This window comes from Homo sapiens, chromosome 6 (genome assembly GCF_000001405.40).
Source record: "Homo sapiens chromosome 6, GRCh38.p14 Primary Assembly".
In the NCBI taxonomy this organism is placed as follows: domain Eukaryota; kingdom Metazoa; phylum Chordata; class Mammalia; order Primates; family Hominidae; genus Homo; species Homo sapiens.
This window is the reverse complement of record NC_000006.12, coordinates 96,812,146-96,835,925: the sequence shown is the minus strand read 5'-3', so window position 1 is coordinate 96,835,925 and position 23,780 is coordinate 96,812,146. Positions and strand designations below refer to the sequence as shown.

General features: G+C 34.6%; 1 protein-coding gene across 8 annotated transcripts in view; it reads left to right on the top strand.

Annotated features, from left to right (window-relative positions):
* The window catches only part of GPR63 (G protein-coupled receptor 63), a 43,353-nt gene that overhangs the window by 1,552 nt on the left and 18,021 nt on the right, over nt 1–23,780 (top strand). Inside the window, exon 2 of one of the 8 annotated variants that reach the window (NM_001143957.3) lies at nt 4,028–4,145. The exons of the other annotated variants lie outside the window; for them this stretch is intronic. The gene's annotated coding sequence lies outside the window, so the exon portion shown is untranslated. The remainder of the gene's footprint in view (nt 1–4,027; nt 4,146–23,780) is intronic. 8 annotated transcript variants of the gene reach the window in all.

The following is a 23,780-nucleotide window of genomic DNA, read 5'->3' as shown; positions in this document are numbered from 1 at the left end:
TTCTGGTATATGCGTTACGTACAATTTTGTGTGTGAAAAGTATACTACCAAGGCAGACGGGATAGTGTAGGAAACATATTGTTTGTAATGGGAAGTTTTCGAAGAAAATCATCCCAGAATAACCAGTAATACTGTAAAATTTTGTTTGGGATATAGATTTTTATCTCTAAGTACAGTTTTGTCACTTTGCTGTAAAGTATACCAGTACCGAAACTCAAAAAAAGAACCCACCATCTCAAGCATTTTCTGAAAATTTCAGCAAGCTGAACATTCTTGGAGAAAAATTTGCTTAGGAAAAATAAACATAACTAAAACCCCTATGTAGTTACTGTTTTACCTTAAGTTTGCTGGACTGCAAGCAAGAAAGTAAGAATTTAGTGTTCCTAAGTGGATGTGACTTAGTTCCTAGAGTTACTTGAGCACCTTGAGATTTTGTTTATGGTTTATTTAATTTGGGTTGATTGTTTTGTGAATGAGTATTTTGGAAATGATACACACAGAGGTGGATTTGTATATGTATATATCCATATCACACATATATCTATATTTATGTATCCATACTATATATAGTATAACTATATATACCATATCTGTATATGCTATTGAGTATATAAAAAACATGAAAACCATTTAGGGACCTAATAATACATGTGCACCAGGAACAGTAGGTCTAAAATATCAGCTAAAAATAGTTATTGCTAGGGCTTGTCATCTTTTCAGCATTTTAGTCAATATCAGTTAAGTTAAAAAGCACTGGTTTTCAGTATGTTCTCGAACTCTTAACAAGGCTTGGATCAGGGAACCATATCCTAACCACATTTATCTATTCAAATGGATTGAATTACCCTGCCAATGGATAATTGAACCAGGCATTTCTTAAGCTTCAATAGGCAAATTCTAGGTAAAATTTAGTTTGTCAATATAGTGTTTTCTTCTTTTAATACTTCAAAAATAACCTTTAGGACATTCTTCATAGATCTGGGATTTAGAGAGTAGACCTCAAAGGCATGAGAGGCAAACCTTGGGGAAGTTCTGGTACTCCAATTTGTGAAATGATGTCTTAAGCACTTGATTTGAGAGAGGGACCCATTAATGCTTGGAAAAACAATATGTATAAATACAGTGCTCCAGTTACTACAAGCAAAACTATTTCATTCACCTTTGTTATGTTTGTTACCACATTTCACAGCTGAAGCTGCTATATTTCAGCTTATGTATGAAAATTAGAAATGAAATGAAGTAATCTGTTAGGCGGTTTTTTTTTCTTTAATTTGCTAGCTGTTTACCAGAAATGTGTTTATATTTGCTGCAAATCACCTTTACTTTGTTGCAGGTGGCACTTTTTCCTTTTTTTTTTTGCAACTATGACATATGTATATTTAGGATGAGTTCTTAGTGTTTCCTTGAAGACACATGAATGAGTTTCACAGAGTTTATGTTGCATTTCTTCAACTTTCAAAACACAACATTTGAGATGTTTGACTACCAGCCTGAGATCATAGATCTTAAGAGCTGATGTGATCCTGGTCAGTTATAGTTTCAATTTCCGGGGAATTTTCTGTTTAAGGTTAGATGTGCCCTCAATTTGAACTAGATGATCCACAAAATTGGTACTTTTGCAACCACAAAACATGAGAACATTCCAAATGATTTGAAGTGTGGGCAGCCCAACATGCTTTAGGATTTGGTTGGCTTGAGGCGGTATGCCATGCTTGTAAAAATGGTTTCTGAAGCTGACAGCAAGCTGTTTCAGGCTTTAAGTTTGACACATAGGATAAAATGCATTCTAGCCTCTGCACCAGTAAATATGGACAAGATTTGTATCCACTTCTGTTTGTATGACAGAAGATTCAGAAAACTCAAGCGTGAAACTCTAGCTTAATACACAGGAAAGCTCATTCATGTTCATTATAAACATAATGAAGAGTTAGAAAAGTTGGATTTTAACACAGCTCTCGGGTCTTGGGGAATAGATGGTATATTTGCAGGTATGGGGGCAATCTAGTGGTCACCTATTGAAATTAATAATAGGGTTATTATTATCAGCATTTCCTTTGAGTGATATGCTAAAGAATTACATCTTCCCAGATACAATTTAGAAAAACCCCCAGCCAGATACTGTACCAATCACCTGGCATATATATTAATTGATTCTTAGATCATTTTCAAATTCTTAACATCATTTTCAATTTAAACCTTTATGTGTTATTATAGTTATAAGCTTTACATACCTTTTAGGGTTTTTGAGCAAAGCTTCTTGGTTAACTTCTTTCTCTCAATTGACTTAGCTCAGTCTATGTTATTAAAGCATTTGAAAAATATTTTAGGCAAATTCTTTTCTGTGGAAACTTCTAAGGATCTTCCTTGGGGAGGCTGGTGCAGAAGGGACATGATTCTGTATTCTAGCTGTTACCTTTCTCCTAAAATGAGGCATCTTTACATCTTCCTACTTTATACAATATAAAACAAAACAAAAACAAATGCGTAGGTAACTTTAGAGAGAGAACATTTGTAGGCATTTAAAGAAGCCTGAAGTTTAGATCAGAGTAAGAGTTTCAACTGAAAATTATTTGAGAATCAATTAAATCTATCCCATGTATTTGGTATGGTATTTGGTTGAGGCTGTCTGGTGCAGGATTTTTTGTTCAAGTTGATCCTGGGAGGATGTGGATACAAAGGGAGTTGGGGTGTAGGCATAACATCCATTGTCTTCAAGAGGGAAAAATGTTCAGGTAAGTGGGCTTTTGTAGTAAGATCCATTCTTTTCATCATTGTAACTTACTCCATTTCCCCTGTATTTGAAGCACACAGTCTTCCTACTCCATTTTGATTAACCCTGCATAAACCACGATACCTTCTAAAGTTTCACACTGTCTATCACTAGCAGAAAGTCTGTTCTCTCAGCTTGTTCCTACTCAGCACTTCTTCAGATGTTTTTCCTTCTTTTGCATTATTCATTTCTTGAATGATAGGAGTTTCGAGTATAAGTTGAATATCAGGTTTCTCCATTTTCTATAAATTGGATAAATTTGCACCCACTTACAGGTTTGGTGATATTGGGAACTTCTCATTTTTGTTTCTATAGTTCATGTATAGTTACTATTTCAAGGTTTCAAATCTGTTTTTTTTTTAACTTGTATTTAAGTTCAGGGGTATAAGTGCAGGTTTGTTACATAGGTAAACTTGTGCTGAGGGGCTCTGTTGTACAGATTATTTCATCACCCAAATATTAAGCCTTGTACCCATTAGTTATTTTTCCTGATCCTGTCCCTACTCCTACCCTCCACCCTCATGATATAATAGATTTTTTTCTTACTTTAGAAGTTTTTCTTGTTCATTATAGGAAATTTAGAGGCCAGGCATGGCCATTCATGCCTGTAATCCCAGAACTTTGGGAGGCCGAGGCGGGAGGATTCTTTGATCCCAGGAATTGGAGACCAGCCTGGGAAATATGAGGAGACCCCGTCTCTCCAAAAAGTAAAAAAAAAAAAAAGTTAGTCAGGTATGGTGGCACGTGGTTGTGGTCCCAGCTACTTGCGAAGCTAAAGTGGGAGGATTGCTTGAGCCCTGGAGGTTGAGGCTGCAGTGAGCCGTGATCATACCATTGCACTCCAGCCAGGACAACAGAGAAAGACCCTGTCTTCAAAAAGAAAAAGAAAGAAAAGAAAATTTAGAAAATCCAGACAAGCAAAAAGAAAAGAAAAGAAGAATTATACCCAGATATAACTATTATTAGCATTTTGGTATCTATTTTTATATACATATAGAAAAATACTATGATATTTTAATTTCTAAAAATGGCCCTTAGTGTAGATATATAGCTTTGTAATTTCGTGTAAAGATGAACCACTTCCCTTGTCATGGAATGATCTGTAACATTTTTAATTCTGAATAATATTATTCTATGGATGTATCATAGTTTATTGGGGATATAATTTTTTTCTTCAGCTGTACAGTAATGACTATCTTACAGTGCAATTTTTAAAAAATTTTTATTTATTTATTTTTTATTTTTTTTTTGTGACAGAGTCTCACCGTGTTGCCCAGGCTGGAATGCAGTGGCGCGATCTCGGCTCACAGCAACCTCCGCCTCCCGGGTTCAAGCGATTCTCATGCTTCAGCCTCCTGAGTACCTGGGATTACTGGTGCCGATCACTGTGCCTGGCTAATTTTTGTATTTTTCGTAGATGGGGGTTTCACCATGTTGGTTAGGCTGGTCTTGAACTCCTGACCTCTAGTGATCTGCCTACCTCAGCGTCCCAAAGTGCTGGGATTACAGGTGTGAACCACCGTGCCTGGCTATAGCTCAATTTTTATACATACCTATGGTTATTCCCTTTGGGTAAAACCCTAGACATAGAATTTTTGGGGAGGAATAAAAGGGCATTGATATTTTTCATTGCCCTCAAGGCACTTTATTATTCCCAATATAAAATCTGTAGAGCTAATCATTGTCTTCCCTGTTTATCTTCTACAGTTTTTTTTTTTTTTGGTAAGTGTAATATGAAAGAGTCAAGTCAGATAGGGTTTGAACCCAGACCTGATTGTCTAGTGCTTTTTCCAAATGAAATAACCCCATTTTATAGAGATTTAGCCTCAATCCAAAACCATTCATGAGTGCTCAGTTATAACTATAAATGTTACCTCCAGCTAAACAGGTAGAGTAGTTGAGTGTGCCATGAGAATGCTGTCCCTTTTTCAATTTCAGTTTACTGTATTGCCATCTGCCCTCTTGCCCACACATATTGATACATAATTGTGGAATAATAGAGTGAATGAATGTCATTTCCTGTATAGTCATCTCTAAGATGTAAAAATATTCTGTTTTCTGCACTTTGCTGCCAACTCCTGGACTCTTAACATTTAAAATAAATTTGGAAGGTTTAAATTTACAAAATTTAGCCTTGAGCTGTGTGTATATGTGTATGCACATGTGTTTGTTTACATCTATATTTTATCTATGTGTTTGTATCTTTCTTTCTTTCTGTCAATAATATGAAACTTCGTCTTAGCCAGAAATTACCTTTTGAAATCAGTTGAGTATCACTCTGGCTACTACAGAAGCATGTGGTCACTTCTAGTAACAAAACTAGAACTATAAAATGAGCAAAAGTCAGGAAAAGGTAGAAACTTAAACACTGATGGCTAAATTTAGAGAGAAATTCTCCCTTTTATTTTTGAAACTAAAATTATCTTTAGCCATTAAACATGTTCCAAGTGAATGCAGTTATATTTGCATTTTTCATTTTTAGAATTTGGTTCTGGATGTAGAAGGTAAACACGCATGTACTCCCAAATATGCTTTCTGGGACAGTTACTGTTTTCCAGACATTGTTTTCTTCACTGTGGAATAGTTTCCTTTCCTTCTTTCTCTAAGTCAGGCTTAGGTTATCTGCTCCCTTAATACCTGGTACTTACCTCTGTTTTAGCACTTGGATAAGTGCTAAATATGCTTTTTGTTTAAGTAAGTATCATTTTCCTTTTTACTATCTCAAATAAAAGGAACTATATTTTCAGTGTGGAATGTAACAGGCATGGATAGGTTAAACAGGTAAATTTTTTTTCATGAGGTCTTGTGGATGTTCACTGTTTATAGGAAAGTTCAGAATATCCTTTAGAAACTGATTTTGCCATGTTACTTTTAAAGAATGTTTATTGTGATGTACATTGTACATTTAAAATTGCATGAAGCATACCTTTAAGTTTAAAAAATTGAATACTCATGGACTTACTACTAAAGTTAAGAAATACACCTAGAATTCCTCTGTCTACTCATTCCTCACATGGAGGCAACTCTTGCTTTATCAACCCTCTTTGTGTGGTTATTTTTGGCCTTTTATTACATAAAGGGAATTTTACTACTGTAAATATTTATACTTTTATGCTTGCTTCATTTGCTCACTGTTATATTTTTTAGATTCATCAGTGTTGTTTGTAGCTGTAATTTGTTTTTTGTTAATTTATTGTATATAATGTATAATATATAGTAGAGATGATCAGCAAAGCCGAAAGTTGCTTCTTTGAAAATATTTATATATTTGTTTCTAACATGTTCATTTTTACTCTTTTTTTTCAATGTTTTTAGGTTTATTTCTGCCTTTATTCTAATTTTTTAGGTTGAGTGCTTAGCTCAGTTGTGAGTCTTGCTTTGTTCAGAGTGTAAATCTCGAATCATCACTTTAGCTGCTTATGTTTTCATACAATTCTAAGTATTTTCTTTGTTTTTAAGACAGGTTCTCATTCCTTTGTCCTGGCTGGAGTGCAGTGGTGTGATCATGGCTCACTGTAGCCTTGACCTCCTGGGCTTAAACGATCTCCTCACCTCAGCCCCCTGAATAACTGGGACTACAGGTGCATGCCACTATGCCTGTCTAATTTTTTTTATTTTTATTTTTTGTAGAGATGAAGTCTCACTGTGTTGTCCAGGCTGGTCTTGAACTCATGGGCTCAAGCCATCTTCCCATTTTAGCTTCTCAAAGTGTGGGGATTCCAGGCATCAGCCACCGTGCCTGTCCTAAGTATTTTCTATGATTTGTTTGATCCATGAGTTAATGAGAATCATGTTTCCTAATTTCTAAGCATATTTTGTTGTGGTTGTAGGTGATCTCTAAACTATTTGTGATATGGTCAGAGGATGTGGTCTGTATCTTACCAGTTCTTTGATGCTTGTTAAGGTTAGCTCCATGGACAATGGCAGGTGTTCTCTACAAATAAGTGTTCCACGTGTAGCTTTAAAACGATGTGTATTCTCTAGCTACTGGATGCAGTTTCATGTGTATCTATAAGATGAAAATTTTAAATGTGCTATTTAAATCTTTATCCTTCTTCATGTTTTTATCTACTTGATCATTTAATTACTGAGAGATTATAATTATGGATTTATTATTTTCATCTGGTTAATTCACCTTTTACTTTATATGTTTTTGAGGTTTATTATTAGATACATACAAGTTTAGATTTTTAAATATTTTTGTGGGAAATTAACCCTTTTGTCATATGTCATACCTTCTGTATCTCTAATAGTATTGTTTGAATTAAAGTCTCTTTTTCTTTGATAGTAATACAACGATGAAGGGTCCCCTATAGATTATGATGGGCTTGACACACCTTTCCCTACTTGTTGGCTTTAAAGTTGGATCTATATCCTTATGATTTTAGATGTGTCTCTTGTAAATAGCATATAGCTGGATCTTTGCATTTAACTGGAGAGTTTAGTCTCTTTATATTTAGAATGAAGACTGACTTGGATTTATTTATCATATTATTATGTATTTTCTATTCTGCTTTTTCTTTGTCTTCTTTCCTTTCTTGCCTTCTTTTGGATAGACTGACCCTCTGCCCCTACCATTTTTTTTTTTTTTTTACTGTTTTTATTTGGGGGGTCAGGAGATTACCTATAAGTTCTACATCTATTATTTTAGTGGTTACCCAGACAATTTTAATATATACTCTTTCTAGTCTAAAGTTAATATCTTTGCCTTCTATTACGGAATTGAATTGTATCCCCCAAAATTCATATGCTGAAGCCCTAATCCCCAATATGACTATATTTGGAGATAGGGCCTATAAGGAGGTAATGAAGATTAAATAAGACTATAAGGGTAGGGCCCTGATCCAATAAGATCTCTGTGGAGGTACAGAGATCTCTCTCTCCCTCTGCATACACAGAGGGAAGGCCATGTAAGATCATACGTGTCTACAAACCAGGAAGAGAGGCCTCACCAGAAATGCATCCCGATAGTACCTTGATCTTGGACTTCTAGCCCCCAGAACTGTGAGAAAATAAATTTCTATTGTTCAAGCCACCCAGTCTGTGGCATTTTATTTCTTAGGAATTGTTTAACTCTTATGATACCTTCCTCCAACTTGCATGTCATTGTTGTTGAGTATTTTAGTTCTAGCCTGTTTTTTCTCTCTCAAGTTAGAAATTACTTTTATTGCTTTATACAGTATCTGTTATATTTAGTTCTTTATTCATTATTATCTTTCCACCCAGTTTCTTCTTGTCTATCAGACCTTCTATCTGGGATCATTTCTTTTTTGCCTGACATATATCCTTTAATTTTCCTTTACTGAGTGTGTGTGTGTATGTGTGAAAGAGAGAAGAGGGAGAGAGAGAGATTTTTGTTTGTGACAATCCTTTTAATTTAATTTAATTTGCTGAAAGGAAGTATCAAAAATATCATTTCATTGTCTTCTGAATTTTATTATTATCATTGAGAATAAAGCAGTCAAGCTCATTTTTTTCTTTGTCAGGGAATCTATCTTTCCAAACTCTGGTTCCTTCTAAGATCTTTTGAAGATACTCTCTTTCTCCTTGAAGATATTATCTCTGTCTATTCTGAATTTTTGATCTGATGTTTTTGGGTATGAATTTTAACATCTCTTATTTGGCATTAGATAGGCTACATTGAGGACTAGCATTTTTCAGGAATTCTGGAAACTTCTATTTACAATCCTTTTGAATATTTTCTCATTAATTTTATGATCTTCTGGAACTCCAATTCCATGTCTGGTAGACTTTCTATGTTTTTCTTCCTTAGTTCATCTCTTTTATCTTTCATTGTTTTCGCTTGATTGTATTTGGAAAAATTTCTTATGTTCTAACTTGCAGTTTATTCACTTCAACTATGTCTAATACGCCACTTTGTCGATTTAGTTTTTAATATCAGTTATATTTTTCATATATGGAACTTTATTTTCAAATCTGCTTGTCTTCTGGTCATAATTCTAACCATTTATTATTTTTATATTCTTTGTCTAATAATTTTCATAACTGAAGTCTTTTGTGAGTTTGTCTTTTTTTCCCCTTGCCCTTAATCACTCATGTTGCTTTATTTTGCTTTATTTTGAGGTTTTTGTGGTTTTTTTTTTTTTTTAGACTGTGTTCACTTGCCTTGGAACTTTGTGGTAATTATTTCAGGCCTATGATGAAGGTGAGTTCCTCCAGAGGGGAAATACATTTGCTGTTGCCTGCTAGCTTGGGTGCTGTACTGACTTCGGCACATTTTAAATCAGATTTCTGTTTGATGATGCTTTATTTCTTAAAATGTACCTTGTGGTTACAGATCTTTTGGGAGAGATTATTTTCTTTTTTCCATGATGTATTTTCTTCATGCAATAAAATATAATTTTTATTTCCGTTTTCTTTTGACATGGTAGAGTTTATTTTTTGTTCACTTTTACCCTAGCAAATATTGGCCCCATGAAGTCCCTGGTTGCCATTGAGGTCTTCTGACAAATATTCTAATTCTGTAATCGCAACTCAAATGCTTTTAATTTGACTATACTAAAGACACTATTTTATTTCTGGGATCATAAACATGTATAAAATAGAATATGTTTGTTATTCAGGTTAATAAGCAGACCTTAACTAATCTTACTGTAGAGTGTTTGCTTTTGAAAAGAAAAAGCAGACATTAATGTATTACAATATGATAGCAAAATACCTTTCTCTTTTTAATTTCAATTTTTAATTTGACATTTTTCTTTGTTAATAAATTAGAAATTTCTGTATATGATGTTGTTGTCAGCACTTTCTGTTCTTGAGTCTCAAATTTCATTTTGTTTACAGTCATTTAGTATTTAGTTTTGTATTTTATTTTTTAGAAAGTTATTACCAGCTCCTTGTTTTAAGTTTGGTTTCATCTTCCAGCTGGAAAGACACTGCCAGTCACATTTAGCTTTCTGTTCCTTCATATATCTAGGCTTTGCCTTTAAAATGGTAGTAGGTAAAGTTAAAAAGCCACCCATGGTTCACAGATTCCTTATTTATATTCTCAAAAGCAAGTTAAAGATGGCAGACTGCAGGGTTCTTCTGGGTACTTCACTTTTAAAAATGAATAGTTATTTTATGCTTATTTGAAATGGTACATCTTGGTAAACATTTTAAAGAAATGTTTGTTTTTATTCTTTTTATTTTTTATATTTTAGTTTTTATAACATCCTCAAATTTTTACTTTTAATCCTACATGATATGGTGATGTGGATGCAGCCTTGGTTATGATGAACAGTTAGTTACTAGAAAGAGTTGAAGAACTTCAGCATTATATCTCTCAATACTCAGTTGCTGTAGGTTAACAATAAAAGCAAGTATAGTAGTAAATGAAGCTGAATAAATAAAAAAAAAGACTAAGGTAATTAGCTTGATTATTTTTGGGGAATGATTCCATTCATCAGGTGATTATGGACTAAAATTAAGCTTCCATGTCATAAAATTAAGCTTTTACTATTTTCTGTGCTCTTTTTACATTTTCAGTTTTAAAGTCTTTTTGTCCTTTTACTTTTCCTCACCTTGAGTAAACAGGCACCAAAATGGAAATAATCTTTGAAGCATACATAAAAGAATCTCACTTTGGTAAGATCTTTGCTCATATCTAGATTCTAGGTTGGAATAAAGTTCCTGAAAACAGTCCCTCTAGTAGCTATTTTTTTTAAGTAGGTAGAAGACACTCCATATCAAAAGCCACATTTTATAAAGAATCCATTCAGTTTGTGGCCCTTGTAGGAGGGAGAATTTTCTTTTTTATCTTATACAAACTTGAGAGTTGATCATTTCACTGAATGTTGTTTCTCCCAGACCCTATGTTCAAGTCTGATTTTTTTCCTGCTCAATTCCAGTGTAATAAATATTCTGCATATGAGAATTTTCACATTTGTTTCATTACCTATTATACAAACTCAGCATTTGGGCTACATTGTTGCAGTGGTTCCCGCCCTAATTGAATATATATTGAGTATACACATACATACACATATACACATCACTTTCTGGTGTTAGTCAATCTCTCATGGGCCCTATTTGCTAGAAGAAATAAAATGAGGATTGAGCATGAGTGAGGTATAATACAAATGGAAAAACTTTACATAAGTTTAAGCAGTGATATTTATAAACAATATTTCATACTTTTGTTTCTGCACCTTTGGTTTGAGAGAAAATCCAGGAATTGTGTTTCTGACTATTGTGTGCACGGTGAGCCATTGAATTTCCTATGGGCCTTTGGTCTTACCAGTCTTAATATCAGTTGCGTCAGCTCTTTGTAATCTTGCAAAGCTTTTAGTGTTGCTTTAATCTTTGAGCAGAGAACTAGAAGACTAGTGGCAGGTGTCTTACTATGTGGGGACAATAACTCACGACACTATCAGTGGGAAACCCAGTAACAACCAAACACCACAACCTCCCACTGGACCCTTTCTCCCTTGTGACTGTGGTGCATGATGATAAATTGTTCTTTGGTGTTAAGAACACAGCCATTTTATCATTTTTTTTTTTTTTCATTTTTTTAAAAGTTCAAAATGAATAGTGCAGGTTTTAAGACTTTTTTTTTTTTTTGCTAAGGCGTATTTTTGGTGGGGAGTGAGCAGGGTTTATGTTGGTAGGTGACATGCAGTACTTTGAATTTAGAATGATAATTATGTAGCCCTTTTACTTGGAGTAGTCCTTTCCATTTGTTGGTTGCACAGGAAACTTGACTGAATATTAAAATTTAGAAATAGTAGAAATGGGATTGTTTTAGAGGAGTTAGATTTTGTTTAGATGAATTCTGCTTTATAGCAGGATTCAGTAGAGTCTTTCTGCTAGTGAGGTTTCAAGAAACATTAAATATTCTTGAATTTAAAATGGTTTGCCAGCAATTTGATTTTAGAAGACTTTTTTTCAGGACCACATGCATATTGTAAAAATTTATCTATTATAGTGAAAGACATCTGTTTTTGGTCTTTATTTATTTTCTTTCTGCTCTTATTCCCCAGGACCTATTCTTTCCCACTCTTTGCCTACCAAACTATAACAAATAAACTATAACTTCCAAGACTAAAATACACTAGTCTTTAGCCTACTACTTAGAGATTCATCTTAGTGGATAATACCATACTATCATAGAGCATGAGATTTAGAGAGTGTTATAAGAAAACATGTACACATAAATGTTCTGAGAAGTGAGTCATGAGGCAATTTCTTCATTGTGTTAACGTCATAGTGTGCACTTACACAAGCCTAGATGGTAAGCCTGCTCTACACCTAGGCTATATTATGGTGTAGGCTATTGTCTCTGGGCTACAAACCTGTAAAGCATGTTACTGTATTGAATACTGTAGGCAATTGTAGCACAACTGTAAGCATTTATATATCTAAACGTAGGTACAGTAAAAATATGGTGTAAAAGAGAAAAAATGGTACCCCATATAGAGCACTTACCATGAATGGAGCTTGCAGGATGGAAGATTACTCTGTCAATGAGTGAGTGGTAAGTGAACGTGAAAGTCTGGGATATTAATGTACACCACTGTAGACTTTATAAACACAATATACCTAGGTAACACTAAATTTATTTTTAAAATTTCTTCAATACCTTACTGTAAATTTTTTACTTTATACACTTTTAAATTTCTTAAAACTTTTTCATTTTTTGTAATAACATCTTAAAACATGAATGCATTGTACATTTGTATGCAAATGTTTTCATTATATCTTTAGTCTATATGCCTTTTTCTATTAAAATTTTGTTAACTTTTAAGCTTTTTTGTTAACTAAGACACAAACACACACAATAACTTAGGCCTACACAGGGCCAATATGACTGTCTTCCACTTCTATAGCTTGTCCCACCGGAAGGTCTTCAGGGGCAATAACACATGGAGCCGTCATCTCCTGTGATAACAATGCCTTCTTCTGGAATACTTCCTGAAGGATGTGCTTGAGGCTGTTTTATGTTAACTTTTAGAAATCTTAATAAGTAGTACTCTAAAATAAAAATTAAAAATATAGAGTAGTAAATACATAAAGCAGTAACATCCTTTATTATGTTTGTTCAGTATTATGTGCTGTATGTGCTAGACTTTTATACAACTGGCAGCACAGAAGGTTCATTTATGCCAGCATCACTGCAAACACATGAATATTGTGTTGTACTACAAAGCCATGATGGCTACGATGTCATTAGGTGATAGGAATTTTTCAGCTCCATTATAATCTTATGAAAGGAATTTTTCAGCTCCATTATAATCTTATATAGTGGTCTGCCCTTAGCTAAAATGTCATTAAACAGTACATGACTGTAAATGAGGAATTATGTTTTCACTGTTTTTCACTCTTGTAGCATCCTGAGTTTTTCTTCACAGAACATACATCATGGCATAACCCAGTAGTTACCATGTATTTAGTGTGAGTCTCCCTGATAAACTTGTAAGTTACATAAGATCAGGAGATATATCCAGTTTGTTTCCCATTGTAAGCAGTGCTTAGTCAGAAGCTGGCTTAGAGCAGGTGCTTAGCAACTGTTTGTTAAGGGAAGGATGGAAATGTATTTAAAGAAGTGTGTAAGTCAAGTTGAAAAGTATATGCCAAAGATTTATATAGTATACATGGATAGCGTGGTGGAAGACTGAGTATCAGGGAAAGATGGCAAGTGAAGGTAATTTCAGTTGGCACATGATGACGCTGTCAACATTTCTTTTGTCTTTATCTGGTGGCCACTTTGAATACTAAAACTGAAGTCTTATTTCATAGATTTTAAAATTCTAAGTATTTTTAGTATGACCTTTAGAACCTTTTTTTCGGAACCTTCCCAAGTTAACCATAATTATTTTGATCATAGCAGTGAATCAAGGTCAAAACAGATTTGCCGTTTTTTTTGAGGATGAGTCAACATTGCTCTTCACCAATCCTATTTTGAAATGGTGTACGTTAGAGCAGAATGATCTTTATTTCAGTGATGTTTCCCTTGTGTTATTTTCTGGTTTCCCACTCATGACAAAATTTCATAGTTCTATATTTTTCTTTGTGTTCATTATTGGAATTTGCTATGGTAATGCATTACATTTACATAGTGCAAGACCAAAGGACTGAGGATCCATCCTTTGATTTTTTTTTTTAAGTGTGTGTGTGTATGGTTGACTGTTGTATATACAATCATGAGGTTATTTGAGGTATCTGATGGTGTTGTGAAGGTCTTCTGATTCTACGTTCTATGAAATTTCTATTATATCCTTGGAAACGAGGTACCTGGTTGATGGGGGAGAGGTAGGGTGGTAGGGTAGGGAGTCTAACAGATGTGTCTGTTACGCCAAGAGATTATGCTTGAACCATCTCAGATAGTCATGTTATCTGATGTGGGAAGAAAGAGGAGACCGTGGTATATATATGTATGTCTTTCACTTGTTTTTAGTAGACATCATGTCATATATGGTCTTGGTACATGATTGTTGCCTGAGACCTATTTGTTGAATTGACTTGGCTGGAGCTCTCAGGGATAATCACAGTCAGCAACAAAAAGTGTTATTATGAAAAACAAGTAAGTCAGATTACAGTTGCATCTGGGGATAGAGGAATAATCTGGGCATAGTTGTAGTAGACTATTCCTAGAAAGTTGAGTAAGAATTATATAGAATTCTGCCACTGTTTAAAGTAGTGAAAAGACAAAAGAAGCTGTACCTTTTTTTTGTTCTGAAAAGAGATATTTGAAAGTCACTTTTCTGAAATAAAAGGGTGAGTTAGAGGAAGAGAAACGAAGGCATCTGATCAAAATCACAGCGCAGAATCTTAAAGTGAGAAAGAGGTTTAAACTCAGTTTGAGGTGAGGTATGGAAAAATAGTCATTTGCAAGGATGAAGGAGTAGAATCCTAAATGTCACTGAAAGGTTGGTGTTGTAGAGGATGTGATTTTCTTTTCTGACTTAAGTGAAACTGCTAGTGCGTATGTATTGAGCACTATGTGTCAATACTTGACATTTGCTATCTCGCTTAATCTTTGCTATAGCTTCATGAGCTAAACTGCACTATGATCATCTCCATTTTTCTGATGAAAAACCTGAGGTTCAGTAACCTGCCCAGTGACACACAGTTTGTAAATAGCAACCAGGCCCTCTGACCACTGCCAAGGTGGGCACAATGAGCTTCTGGAGGAAGAGTGTGGGAGTGCTCAATAGATAGACTATTGTTTCCCCGACTGACTTTTTATTCCCTCCAAAGAACACGCCAAAATCATTTGTAGTGAGAGGCAGTGAAGAGAGTACCAGCATTTTTAGAAGAAATACCACTGATATGATGGTATAAACATTTAGTTTTGATTAGATAAACTAATTCTAAGTCCTTGGAAATTTGTGGTAGATTAAGGAAAAATTAAATGTCTAATTGTGAAGATAGGCATATGGGGTCAGATGAGTACAGAGTTGCTAAGGGAACAGGTTAAAAAAGTGAGTGGCATGCTGAGCTCTACCCAGAAATTCAGTTCAATGCTAAAGCTGGATGAAAAAAAAATTCTCGTGGAATAGCATGAAAATAACAAAATAAGCATGCTTTTTTGGCTCATTTTGCTTTTTTTAAAAAAATTACACTGATTCTGAGGTAATATTTGTGGAAACCAGAAAGGTGACCTAGAGATTAATATAAAAAGATAAAGACTGTTTTTTTAGATTACTAGGTAAGTAATTGCAGGAAATATGGGGTACACTTAAAAGTAGTGACTAGGTAAAGCACCATATTTAAATTTTATTCTTTAGGGGATAACAAAATCCTATTTTCATAAGAAACATGTGCCCTTTACCGATGAGAATACATTTCTTGCATAATAATAGTAACACTTACTTAACAATTGCCATTTGAGTAGTTCCTCCTGTCACTAGTTTCTAAATGTCTAAATACCTTATTTTGTTTTACCCATGGACAGCAGGCATGATGAGATAGGCCGGAGAATGCTTATTTTGCTGTCTTAACGTATTTCCTAAGGAACAGAGTTTTTTTTAAGGAATATGTTTTATGATCATTGAAAGCAAATATTAACATATATTTATAATATGAAATGTTCAAGAAGATTTTATTTTCTGACTATAAGAAAACTACTCATTTTACAAGATTTGGAAAGTAAGGGAAAGAAAAGCTGGAGGAGAATGTACCACAGACTGTCCTACTGGTCGAATTTTTTTTGTTGTTGTTTGTTTTTTTTTTTTTTTTTTGAGACAGAGTCTCGCTGTGTTGCCCAGGCTGGAGTGCAGTGAGCGATATCAGCTCACTGCAAGCTCCGCCTCCCGGGTCGACGCCATTCTCCCGCCTCAGCCTCCAGAGCAGCTGGGACTACAGGCGCCCGCCACCACGCCTAGCTAATTTTGTCTTTGTATTTTTAGTAGAGAAGGGTTTCACCATGTTAGCCAGCCATCCCTGACCTCGTGATCTACCCGTTTTTTTTTGTTTTTTTGTTTTTTTTTTGGCAATTTAGTTGGGTTTTTCTTTTTCTTTCTTTTTATTTTATTTTACTTTAAGTTCTGGGATACATGTGCAGAACATGCAGGTTTATTACATGGATATACATGTACCATGGTGGTTTGCTGCTCCTATCAACCCCCATTTAGGTTTTAAGCCCTGCATGCATTAGGTATTTGTCCTAAAGCTCTCCCTCCCCTGTCCCCCTGCACCCCGACAGGCCCCAGTGTGTGATGTTCCCCTCCCTGTCTCCATGTGTTCTCATTGTTCAGCTGCCACTTAAGAGTGAGAACATGCTGTGTTTGGTTTTCTGTTCCCGTTAGTTTGCTGAGAATGATGGTTTCCAGCTTCATTCATGTCCCTGCAAAGGACATAAACTCATTCATTTTTATGGCTGCATAGTATTCCATGGTGTATATATACCACATTTTCTTTATCTAGTCTATCATTGATGGGCATTTGGTTTGGTTCCAAGTCTTTGCTATTGTAAATAGTGCTGCAGTAAACATATGTGTACATGTGTCTTTATAGCAGAATAATTTATAATCCTTTGGGTATATACCCAGTAGTGGGATTGCTGGGTCAAATGGTATTTCTGGTTCTAGATCCTTGAGGAATCACCACATTGTCTTCCACAATAGTTGAACTAATTTACACTGCCACCAACTGTAAAAGCGTTCCTATTTCTCCACAACCTCTCCAGCATCCATCTGTTGTTTCCTGACTTTTTAATGATCACCATTCTAACTGGTGTGAGATGGTATCTTGTGGTTTTGATTTGCATTTCTCTAATCACCAGTGATAATGAGCTTTTTTTCCTATGTTTGTTGGCTGCATAAATGTCTTCTTTTGACAATTGTCTGTTCACATCCTTTACCCACTTTTTGATTTGTTTTCTTTTTGTAAATTTGTTTAAGTTCCTTGTAGATTCTGGATATTAGACTTTTGTCAGATGGGTAGATTGCAAAAATTTTCTCCCATTCTTGGGTTGCCTGTTCACCCTGATGTGTGTTAATATTTTGATATGTTCTCTTCTAATTCTTTGAAAAAAATTTCAAAACATAGTGGGAACATATTATGTATACAGCTTTTCTTCACTCAATATGCTAGCATAATATTTTCATGTGTCATTAAATACTCTTCAAAAACAGTTTTAGTTGCTGTACAGCATTCTATTTTATAAATCACATAATTCTGTTTTTTAAATGTAAACCTTAGGATTGCTTCAAATTTCTTACTATGACGTACATGAAAATTTTTTTTTTTTGAATGGGAGTTTTATTCTTGTTGCCCAGGCTGGAGTACAGTGCTGCGATCTTAGCTCATTGCAACATCTGCCTCCTGGGTTCAGGCGATTCTCTTGCCTCAGCCTCCCAAGTAGCTGGGATTACAGACACGAACTACCACACTTGGCTAATTTTTGTATTTTTTAGTAAAGAGGGGTTTTCACCATGTTGGCCAGGCTGGTCTTGAACTCCTGACCTCAGGTGATCCACCCGCCTTGGCCTCCTAAAGTGCTGGGATTACAGGCCTGAGCCACCACGCCTGGCCATGAAATTTTTTTAACTTTTTGCTCAGGATTACTCTGGCTATAAGGGATCTTCTGTGGCTCCATAGAAATTTTAGCATTTTAAAAAATATTTCTATGAAGAATATCATTGGCATTTTGAGAGATTGCTGTGAATCTATAGATTGCTTTGGGTAGTATAAAATTATTTCTTAAGTATGGATCCTGAGAAGTAAAATTTCTAGAAAGTTTTAATATTTTTCATAAACTTTTTGAAGTTTTACATAACAAGCAGAAAGACGCACCAATCATACGGGCACAGTTCAGTGAAATTTGAAAAAAAAAATGAATATATGAACCTCCCAGAAACCCTTTCCCAGTCATAACTCCTACTCTTCCCCAAAGGTAACCAATAAACTACTAACATAGATGAATTTTGCCTGTGTTTGAATTTTATATAAATTGAATAATATTGTATATACATATTTGTGTCTGTCTTTTGTTCAATGTTATATTTGTGAGATTCATCCATGTGTTGCGTTATAGTAGTTTTGCCCATTTTCGTGGCTGTGTAGTATTTGATTATATGAATATAATGACGTTGATTTATCAGTTCTATTGATGGACATTTTTGCTGTTCTAATATTTCAAATAATGCTTCTAGGAATATACTTGTATTTAACTTTTGGTGTACAAATCTAAGTATTTCTGTTCATTACTCAGGAGTGGGATTACTGGGTAACAGAGCAGGCATAACTACAAATTTACCATAGACAGCATACTGTTATCTAGTTACCCATTTCCACTCCCAATGAATGAAAGTTTCATGTGTACCACATCCTGGTCAGTATTTGGTATATTTTATATATATATATATTTTCAACTTTAGTCATTCTGTTGGATTTTTATTTTATTGTGATTTTTATTTGCATCTCCCTGATGAGTGTTGAGGAAGAACATGTTTACATATGTTGTGGATTTTGTTTTGTACTGTTTTGTTTTGGCCGTTTGGATATGTTTGTGAAGTTTTTGTTCAAATCCTTTGCCTATCTTTCAGCCTGGGTTGTTTATCTTTTTCTTATCAATTTGTTGCCATTTAAATATATATATTCAAAGGATGAGTCCTTTGTCTTTAGTGATTGCAAATGTCTTCTGCCTTTTGGCTTGCCTTTCTGTTCTTATAATTTCACCTTTTGCTGAGTTTATCACTCTTTATAGCCAGTGCTTTTGACATCCTGTTTGTGCCTTAAAAATATATTTGATTTGGAAACTTAATAAATATTAAGAAACTTAAACGAGCTAATTAGAGGCTGATATTTGGTTGTTATATTGGAGGGCTATTCAATTTTTTTCTTCATGCCTATTCCAAGAGTGACATCTTTCAGATGTTGTTTCCCCCAACCTTTCCATGAACCCAGAACGCCAGCTTCCAGCCCACTGAGACTGTGCTCTGCTTAGCTTCCCAGCATTTCAGCTGCCTCTTTTACCAGACTTTCAAGCTTTTCAGCAGCTTTTAATCCTTTCAGCTGCCACTTTGCAGGCTCTCGGTTTCTCAGCTGCCTTGAGAAAACCTCTGAGCTAGCATTTCAGAATTAGCTCATGCCTTCAGGTGAAAAATAACACGAATTGCAGAGTGCCTCACTTTTCTATACTTCATTTCTCTCAGATCGTAGCCTCTCAGGTTCTCCCTGCTTTGGTGGCTCTCAGATGTCTTCAAAGAGATTTAAAAATGTTATCCAGCTTTTTTGGTTGTTTTTGGTGGGAGTGTTGGTCTGCTACAGGCTTGACTTTATTTGCTAGAAGCGGAAGTCTCTAGGAATGTTTTTAAGGCTCTCTAGGAATGTTTTTAAGGCTGTTGAAATAGCTTCCTGAATTGCTGTAAGTTTACATTCCCATTGGTGGAGTATCAACTTGCTAGAATTATTTTCATCTTGTTTAAACCTTTGAAAAGCTAGGCACAAAATTAACATTCCATTATGTTTGAATTCTCATTTTTACTTGAATGAGACTGAACACTGTTTCGAACAATGGTTTTTTTGCGTCTTCTATTTATGATTTACTTGCTAATATACATTATTATTCATTGATTTTTAAGAATTTTTAATGTGTAATATTGCCTGTATTAACAAATAAGAATCCATGCATTTGAAGATATTATATTAATAGACCAGAATAATTAGTTTTTTCATTAATCTTTATAATGTTTTAATATTTTTGAAGGCAAGGGTTGTATCCCCTTTTCTTTTGTATTCTGTCTTGGTATCTGGTATGTGGTACAGGTCATATTAACATGAAGCGGATCGCATTTCAAAAATAATGTAGAGAGAAGAGCAGGAAACCCTTCAGGAATGTTTTCTTATGTCACGCTGTGTTCAGTGATTTATCTGTATGAAAGTTTGTCTAGTTATTGATTTATATAATTTCATTTAGGAGCATCACCTCAAGTCTAAGTTCATGAGGCATCTCATTTTTTAGCTTTATTGATATATATGATATACAAAAATTTGTACACATTTAACATATACATCCTGAAGAGTTTGGACATACGTGTACACCTGCGATATCTTCACCACAGCCAAGGCACTGAATATATTCATCACCTCCAAAATTTTCCTCATGTTGTTTTGTATGTGTGTGTTCTTGTAAGAACACAATATCAGATCTGTCCTCTTAATGTATATTAAAGTACACAATACTCTGTTGTTAATACAGGTACTGTGTTGTACAGAAGATTTTTAGAACTTATTCATCCTGCATAAAAAACTTTATAACCACTGAAGAACACTTCCCCATTTCTCCCTCTCCCCAGTCCCTGGCAACTACCATTTTATTCTCTGCTTCTATGAGTTTGACTATTTTGGATACTTCCTATAAGTAGAATCAGAGCCATTCCAATTTTGAGTTATCTTCTTTCTCACATCCATGCAAATCATTAACTTAAGATCAAATTCTCCTTTGTGATGTATCAGAAAGTGCCTGTTTTATAAATCGCCACAAATTTAAAAGGAGAATTATATGTCTTGGCTTCCTCACATGAAGTTAAATTATCTCGCTCCTGGAAGCATTCATATAAATGGTGAGTGTCAACCTTACCAGTTGCATTTTGAAGGAGTTGAAGTGTTAGACCACTTTAAACTGATTTCAGAGTTCTAAAGCATGCACATAAAAATTTAGAAAATCTAAAACATTCTTCATTCCCATAGTTTATCCATAGTGTTTGGATTTCAAGAAATCATCTAAACAGTTTAATTTTTTAGTCAGCAGTATGAAAATTGTGTCTGAGATTAAGGGATAATGGAATTTTCCTTATCCACATTTTGGCTCTATTAATTGTGAAAGTATGATATAACTCACAGAAATGTCCTTGTTTTAGTCACTGCCCTACATTTTTTTTTGGTCATTTTGTAAAACACATTATTGGCTCTCATGCTGCCTCAGGCCCTCAGGGAATGGTGTTCTGCAGAAAACTTGAAGCCTTTAGGGAAGGCTAGTCTAAAAATAAAACCCTCAAGGTATTAGACCAGGGATGAGGGACAGCATTTTTAACATTGCAAATTGCTATATTAAGTGGAATGAAAGTACCGTTCTCTTCTGTAGGTTATGTGAGAAGCAGCAAAACATTTTGTAAAGAGCAGAAACTTTGGAGCCGGACGCCCTGGGTTCTAATCACGGTCCTCCCACCAGCTGTGTGATTGGCAGCACATTGCCCTCTGAGCCTTGGTTTAATTCTCTTGAAAATGGGGAACATAACTTCTGTCTTTGGGGTGGTTTGTCAGGATTAGCAATAATATATGTTAAGGTCTGGTACATGGTAGACATTTAAGAATTGGTAGCTATAATAATTGCACATCTGAAATTTTTTTTCTTTTTCTGGGATAAGGCTTTTTTTCTGCCCCTAATATAATGATGGCTCAAAGACGAGAGGCAATTTTACCTGAGTTCCAATCCTCGCTCTACTGTTTACCAGCTATGTGACCTTGGGCAAGTTACATAGTTTCCTTGTGGCTCAGCTTCCTCATCTATAATTTACATTTCCTCCTTTGCTTGAAAACTTAAGGTTTTATACATATATAATATTGTATGTATTAGATATAAAGTTGGAGATTGAACAAGTCTGTGGGTTATTTTCTGAGTACCATTGAATGTCATTTACAAAAAGTATTTTTTTCTTTTGCTTTGAAGTAACAATACTACAATTGTTTTCTTTTTTGTTGCATTTTTATAGTAATTTTTTTATATCCTACATTTCAAATATACCACTTTTTACATAAGGTTTTGTTTTACTCCAGTTTAGTATCATCAGGTAGTCTTATGCAGATGTTCATATGATGCCATCTTTATGGCTCACCCTTATGTTAATAAACCATAGTTATTCCTCAGAGACAGAGAATATATAATCATAGCCACTGCTCAGAGATAAAGATCAAATAATCGAAGACATCTCAAAAGTAAAACAAACTTGTAGGGGAGACTAAAGACTATGTAGGGGACTTCAACAACCCATTCTCAGCGTTAGATAATCTAGACAGAAAATTAACAAAGAAACCTTGGATTGGACCTAACAGACATTTTCAGGGTATTTCACCCAACAGCTACAGAATACACATTCTTCTCATCAGCACATGGAACATTTTTCTAGGATAAACCATGTGTTGGGATGCAAAGCAAATCTCAATAGAATTGAAAGCATATCAAGTATCTTTGCAGATGACAATGGAATAAAAGTAGAAATCAATAACAAGAGGAACTTTGGAAACTTTACAAATATATGGAAATTAAACATGCTCCTGAATGACCACTGGGTCAGTATGGAGTTTTCTCTAAAAACAAAGAGGAGAACTACCATACAATCCAGCAATTTCAGTGCTGGGTATATATTCAAAGCAAAAGGAATTTATATATCCAAGGATACCTGTGGTTGCATGTTTATCATAGCAGTATTCACAATAGCAAAGATGTGGAATCAACCTAAATGTCCATCAACAGACAAAGGGATAAAGAACATGTATATGTACACAGTGGAGTTCTATTTAGCCATAAAAAATGAAAGCATGTTATTTGCAGCAATATGGATGGAACTGGAGGTCATTATGGTAAATTAAATAGGCTAGGAACAGAAAGACAAGTACCACATGTCTTATTCATGTGGGAGCTAAAGAAGCTATGTCATGGAGGTAGAGAATAGAATGATAGATATCAGGAGCTAGGAAGATAACAGAAGAGGAAGAGGGGATGAAGAGAGGTTGTTTAATGGATACAAACATACAGTTAGATAGAAGGTAGAAGTTCTCATGTTCAATAGCAGAGTAGGATGACTATAGTTAGCAACAATGTTCTTTATATTTCAAACTAATTAGAAGAGAGAACTTGAAATGTTCCCAACACATAGAAATGTTAAATACTCTAGATGATGGATACTCCAGATACCCCGACTTGATTATTACACATTCTATACATGTAACAAATGCTCACATGTACCCCATGAATAGGCAAAATATTATGCATCAATAAAATAAAAAAATAAAAAGAAATAGAAGTAGGAGACAAAGGGAATATAAACAAAACCTATCACCGATAGGACTTATCACTTCTTTTGCTTTTTGCATTTCTAAAAGGTTAATCTATTAGCCACTTAAAAATACATTTTTAAAGTCTTCAATTATAATTAATTTGCACTTCTATTAAATGCTGACCTTTCATGCCACTTGAGTTTCAGTTTTGATTGTCATCAGAAGTCACTTAGCATATTCTCTGAACCAGAGCCCTTCCTGACATTTAATTTCTTTTTAGTATTTATGGGGAAAAGTAACAGGAAGGCAAATAAATCCTTGTGCTTAATAATCTCATTTTTTAAATGTCTATGGAAAAACTAAGTGTTCCTTTGAACATTAGTGAGAAAATTCTTCTTTTTTGTGGTGAATATTGTGGTTAGAATTAGAAATATGTTAGGAATGGAACATCATTATAAATAGAACACTACTTGTGGTTCATACTTAAAATGTACACACAGCATTTTTTCCTTTAGCTTTATTGCATATAGGTTTTAGGTTAGATATGCCTTGCAAATAAGGTAATTTT